Source organism: Homo sapiens, chromosome 19, assembly GCF_000001405.40.
Source record: "Homo sapiens chromosome 19, GRCh38.p14 Primary Assembly".
Lineage (NCBI taxonomy): Eukaryota > Metazoa > Chordata > Mammalia > Primates > Hominidae > Homo > Homo sapiens.
The window spans coordinates 41,774,098-41,780,599 of NC_000019.10; the positions used below are offsets into that span (position 1 = coordinate 41,774,098).

Sequence of the window (6,502 nt, forward strand, 5' to 3'; positions counted from 1 at the left end):
CCCTAAGATTTCCAAGGTCTCTTGAATGACATCCACCTTCCAGAATGATTTTTGCCCCCTCTACTCTCAGGATTTGACAAACAGCCAGCATTTTGTTTTCTGTCTCACTCTTCACTTATGCACCTGTTCCCTAACACCACACTCACAACTGCACAGCCTGGAATAAAAGCTGGCTTTTATGGACCTCAATCTCTTTGGAAAAAAAACAGGGCCAGGTTCCCAGTCATATACAAAGTCATTTTTACTCAATTGTCAACTACTTGCACAGCCATTCCCTGGCCACAATTGAGGTATGCTAGGGACAGAAAGTGTAATGAGAAGGAAGTAGGAGGAGGGTGACTTCCTGGAATGGTCCCAAAGAGGAGAAGATTTCAAATCCAGAAGCAGTCATAAAACACACCCAGAGTATGGCCTTTGAATAATGACAGCCCCACCTGTCTCTTTCCATGCCTCGTGGCCTCTATCTTCCTTCTCAGCCTGCCCTTCCTGCCCTTGCTTTCTTAGATCAATACTAACCACCTGGGAGCTGGGGCCAGACCAGAGCACATAGCACTGAGTCGTCAGGGTGGAGGAGCTGAAAAGAGAGAAGAGTGTTTAACTTATGGGCGTCTGACTCACCTAGGTACACATCACCTGGGCAGAAAGTGGATTCATGATGACCTGTGCGAGACTTATGGTAATTCATCAAAATGAGTGACTGAGGCAAGTGTCTGAATCAATCGAGATTTATTAAGCCAGAGCTTGAGGGCACGCCCTGGGAAAACATGAGGCCTAGAAAACCTCTGTGGCTTGCATTCTCTCTGAAGTGGTTTTCAAGAGACCAGGTTTTCTGTCTTTTTTTTTTTTTTTTTTTGAGATGGAGTCTCACTCTGTCTCTTAGGCTGGAGTGCAGTGGCATGATCTCGGCTCACTGCAAGCTCCAACTCCCAGGTTCAAGCAATTCTCCTGCCTCAGCCTCCCAACTAGCTGGGATTAAAGGCATGTGCCACAACACCTGGCTAATTTTTGTATTTTTAGTAGAGACAGGGTTTCACCATGTTGCTCAGGCTGGTCTCGAACTCCTCATCTCAAGTGATCCATCCACCTTGGCCTCCCAAAGTGCTGGGATTACAAGCATGAGCCACTGCACCCAGCCGAGGCCAAGTGTTTATACGTTTCCTTAAAGCGGGGAAGGCAGATAGGAAGAGGTGGGGTAGGCAGAAGAATGATTAATCTTGCCTTTGTTCTGTACCTGGAAAGATAAGCATTATCAGTCTGAAATATAACAGGCTTTATTCTTAAGAACTAGATTTAGATTGCAGACCTAAAGTTACAATCGACATGTTCTTGTTTTATGGGAGAATATACATCTTAAAAGGTGTATAAAAAATAAAAAGGGTTTGAGAGCAGCAAAGAACAATTTGTGAGGGCAGTTATCCAGAGATGCCTGAGGCCTTTTCACCTTCCCATGGAGGTCTGACTAATGTACAATGCCTTGACACAAGGTCGTGTAGTAATAGCTATTCATTTTAGGAAATGATTATGGTGTTACATGACTCAGTCTCCAGGTTGAACTTCCCTTTGGCATAAAGAGTTTGGGAGTTCTGAGATTTTTTTTTCCCTTTACATTTACCCCCTTTTTTTTTTTTTTTTTTTTTTTTTGAGACAGTCTTGCTCTGTCACCCAGGCAGCTGAGCTGGAGTGCAGTGGCACAATCTCAGCTCACTGCAAACTCCACTTCCAAGGCTCAAGCAATCCTCCCACCTCAGCCTCCCAAGTAGCTGGGACTACAGGCACATGCCAACACACCTGGCTACATTTTTTTTTTTTGTATTTTTTCTGGAGACAAGGCTTCACCCTGTTGCCCAAGCTGGTCTTGAACTCCTGAGCTCAAGTAGTCAACCCGCCTTGGCATCCCAAAGTTCGAGGATTACAGGCATGAGCCACTGCACCTGACCAGCACCTATTCTTCAAAATCTTTCACAGAAAGCGTTGTAGAAAACATGAGTTTTTGGCTGTATGTTTCGTCTGATCCTACATCACTAGGAAGGTTCATTCTTAGGACATTGTGTTCCATGGAGAAGGGCATGAAGTTCATTAGAAAAAGACCAAAGTCAAGTTACGGGAACAAAGGGAAAGTAATCCTGGAACCCTATTCAAGCTACACAGCTGCCTCTTCAACTAAAGCAATTCTTTAGGCAATCATCACTCTAACCCTTTCAGTTATATGTTGGCTCACTTGTAATATGTGGTAATATGTGGAGCAGACTATAGGCTAGTTTTTGTGTTTTTTTTGTTTTGTTTTTTTTTTTAGAGTCTCTGAAGCATCTTCAAATTCCAGTGGCAGGTTCCTCTGGATTGTAGTCTGAATCAGGTGTACAACTGAGCCTTTTCAGTAGTCCATACATCAGCAGGCATGAAGGCTGTTGATCTATAATGCTGTGTTTTTCTCCTGAAGTTTACTTAAATTGTCTAGCTTCAGGTTGCAGGGCTTTAGGAAAAAGCACTGTTTTAATTTCTAATGATTCCAAGTCAGAAAAACGGAAGAAAAATTTGAAAATGTTAGCTTTGATATACAAAAATGTACCAAAAAGTACAGCAGAGTCACTACATCAAGACTAGTCCTACACAAATCTTCTGTCATTAACCAAAATTTTCCAGAGGAAATGGTGATTTTTATTGTCTGCTTGACCAGATTGCACAGAGAAAGAGAAGCCAGGAGCCTCACTGGAAATAAATTCTTACCCTTTTGCTAGCTGATCATCTTCCTGGATTCCGTCATGGCCAAAAACAGGTTATGGTTGTACATCAGGTTTTAGTAGCAAGACAGGTTATGGGAGGGAGAAAGGAGGAGGCTCGGCTAACAAAGATGGTCTTGTTATGTAGATGAAACTTCACAGGTAGCAGCTCCCAGAGAGAGTAGATGGTAAATATTTATTTCAGATCTTTAAGGTATCAAGCTCAGTTCATTTTTCCTGGATCCAGACAAGAGAAAGTCTGCCTGTATTAATAGGGATTCTCTACAGATGCCAATTTTCTCATGAAAGACAGCTTTGCAGGGCCACTTCTGCTTGCTGGCCCTCCAACAGACATCTCAAAATAGGTCAGAAAATACATTTTGGGTTAAACATCTTATTTCCTTCAACTGACACATGTTTCTAGAGGTTTAACTTGGTGTCCTGCAGTTGCGGGTGTTTTCGCCAATTTTGAGGACGGTTCACCATAATGTAGAGCTCCTGCTGGATTTGACCAAGTTGGAAGGTGTTTTGGACACTACGCGGGGTCAAGAGTTGGTCAAATCCAAAGGAAGAATGACAAAAATCAAAAACACAACAAGTGATTGCACAAATTACGTACTGTTGAACACTCTAAGCATAAAGAGAGGTTAGAGCCGGCCGGGCGCAGTGGCTCACACCTGTAATCCCAGCACTTTGGGAGGCCGAGGCTGGCGGATCACGAGGTCAGGAGATCGAGACCATTCTGGCTAACACGGTGAAACTCCGCCTCTACTAAAAACACAAAAAATTAGCCAGGCGTGGTGGTGGGAGCCTGTAGTCCCAGCTACCCGGGAGGCTGAGGCAGGAGAATGGCGTGAGCCCGGGAGGCAGAGGTTGCAGTGAGCCGAGATCGCGCCACTGCACTCCAACCTGGGCCACAGAGTGAGACTCCATCTCAAAAAAAAAAAAAAAAAATAGAGAGGTTAGAGCCAACTAGCAATAAACCTTAATCTGCAGCTATCAAATTCTAAAACAAAATCCCAACCCAGCTCCTTACCTGGGAGGGGACCAAGCTGAAGGCTGCTCTCCATTGGCACAGGAGAAGAAAACTCACCTTCCTTATAGGAAGTGAGCAAAACTCCAAGAGTAAAGGAATTTTATGGCAAAACAAAACTCAGATCTCAAACAATCAACTGGGGAGAGCAGTGACCTCAAGAAGGAATAGCATCTGATCCTCAGAAAGTCACAAAATCAGTCAAAGCTAAAGCTTGATAGTTGGTACCAAGCGTAAACAGGAGAATCGCTGCAGGCCTAAAGAGCTAAGCTCCACTCAGAGGGTTCCTTCATGGTCACCAAAATGTTAACCAAAATGAGTGACTGGGGCAAGTGACTGAGTCCATTGAGGTTTATTAAACCAAAGCTTGAGGGCACGCCCTGGAAAAACATAAGTCATAGAAATGCTCCATAGCGTTTCTCATCTTTGAAGAGGTTTTCAGGAGGCCTGATACTTATACATCTGCTTAAAGTGGAGAAGGGAGATAGGAAGAGACAAGTAGAGGGAAGAATAATTGGTCTCATCTAGTCTTTCTTCTGTACTTGGAAATACAAGCATTATCATTGTGACATCTAACAGGCTTTAGTTTTAGAAGCTAGATTTAGCTTATACACCTATTGTTACAATTGCTTTGTCCTTGTTTTTTTTTGAGACAGAGTCTCGCTCAGTCGCCCAGGCTGGAGTGCAGTGGCACGATCTCGGCTCACTGCAAGCTCCGTCTCCCAGGTTCACGCCATTCTCCTGCCTCAGCCTCCCAAGTAGCTGGGACTACAGACGCCCGCGACTACACCCGGCTAATTTTTTTAGTAGAGACGGGGTTTCACCATGTTAGCCAGGATGGTCTCGATCTTCTGACCTCGTGATCCGCCCGTCTCGGCCTCCCAAAGTGCTAGGATTACAGGTGTGAGCCACCACGCCCGGCCGCTTTGTCCTTGTTTTATGGGAGGATATACATCTTGAAAAGTTCCAAGGCCAGTAAAGAATAATTTGTGAGGACAGTCACCCAGAGATGTCCGAGGTCTTTTTGCCTTCCTGTGGGGGTCTGGCTAATGTACAATGCTTTGACACAGGTTGTATAATAACAGTTGTTCATCTGGGGAAAAGATGGTGGAGTCACATGACTCAGCCTCCAGACTGAACTATCACTTTGGTGTAATGAGTTTGACAGTCCTGAGATTTTTACTTTCCTTTACATAATTTTAAGAGTCAAGGGGCTGGGTGCGGTGGCTCATGCCTGTAATCCAGGCACTTTGAGAGGCCAAGGCGGGTGGATCACGAGGTCAGGAGATCGAGACCATCCTGGCTAACACGAAGAAACCCCGTCTCTACTAAAAATACGAAAAATTAGCCAGGCGTGGTGGCGGGCACCTGTAGTCCCAGATACTCGACAGGCTGAGGCAGGAGAATGGCGTGAACCCCGGAGGCGGAGCTAGCATGAGCCGAGATCACGCCACTGCACTCCAGTCTGGGCGACAAAGCAAGACTCCATCTCAAAAAAAAAAAAAAAAAAAAAAAAAAGAGCCATACTTCCTCGATGCTGTTCCACTGAGGTCAAAGGGATGGGTGTGGAAGGCATCACAGCTTTTTCCTATTTAGAAACCCATTGACCCTTCCTTCTCCCCCTATTGGGTTACATTCCTCTGTCCATAGATCACATATTTACTGAGTTGTTTTCCAGGGGAAAAAAAAATCTCAGTTGAACTCCTTAAAGCCCCAAGCATTCAATTCAGTTCAAGAGTGTCTCTCATTTTAATGATGACCAGGCATAAATATTTTTTAAAGGCTCTCCAGAAAATTTTGATAAGAGCCTCTGCACAACCCACAGTAGCTTTGGGGAGCACTGAGCTACAAAAGTGATGGGGAAGGAACCTGCTATGTGCTGGGGACCTTTATATGTCCACCTTATCTAATGCCCCAAATGACGCTTTAAGTAGGCACTATTATCCCCCTATCCCAAGACATCAATTAACTTGTCCTTTATCTCAGAATTGGTCAAAGGTGGAACCAGGATTCCGACTCACATATTTCTGAATCTAAAGGTCATGTTTCACTGCAGAGCGATTGAGCCTACACGAACTCAAAGAAAGACAGGATGACTGCTTCTAACAGAAATAACCATACAGTCTTCAATGAAGAGTCAGGGTCTGAAATGAGCCTTAGGACAAAGAACAGCTCAGGAGGCTGAGAAGACAGTCAAAGGTATTGTGGAAAGGAGTGAAAGAATTAGAATAAGTTCAGACATGAAAACATAAAATGGGGATCAAGTCTTTCTACACAAACCAAGGGAGTAGACTGGGGCTGTGTTATGGGGCCTTTGAATGGCAGCCTAAGGAATTGAAACTTCATTCTATGGATGATAGGAGTCACTGGAAAGCTTTGAGAAGCTCAGTAACATGACAAACAGCATTTCCAGGAAGATTACTCTGACAGTGTAACCAAAAACCAGTGTAACGAAAACCAGGTTAGTCGCATGCTGCATGTAGAGTCCCATCAACATGAGTGAGGTCCGATACAAAAAAAAAAGTGAATTTATTCTAAAGCTAGCTTGGAGGAAGGGGCACAAAGCATTCTGCCTTTAAATGTGCTGCTCCACCTTTGGAGCAGAAAGCAGGCATTTTTTTAGAAGGTAAAAGAGAAAATGAGCAAGAACAAGCGTCCCCCTGCTACTGGGCAATTATCTACCGGGCAGTTGAGATGGTGCCTTCCTGGACAGAAGTAAGTTGTAAAAATGGCCACGTGGGCATGCTTCTGA

At 44.4% G+C, this 6,502-nt stretch overlaps 1 annotated feature.

Annotated features, from left to right (window-relative positions):
- Positions 4,652-5,153: an enhancer, noted in NCBI's record as "H3K4me1 hESC enhancer chr19:42282657-42283158 (GRCh37/hg19 assembly coordinates)". NCBI's record gives its function as "activates a minimal SCP1, AML or CMV promoter by ChIP-STARR-seq in primed H9 embryonic stem cells {active_cell/tissue: H9 hESC(primed)}" and the evidence as "EXISTENCE:reporter gene assay evidence [ECO:0000049][PMID:30033119]".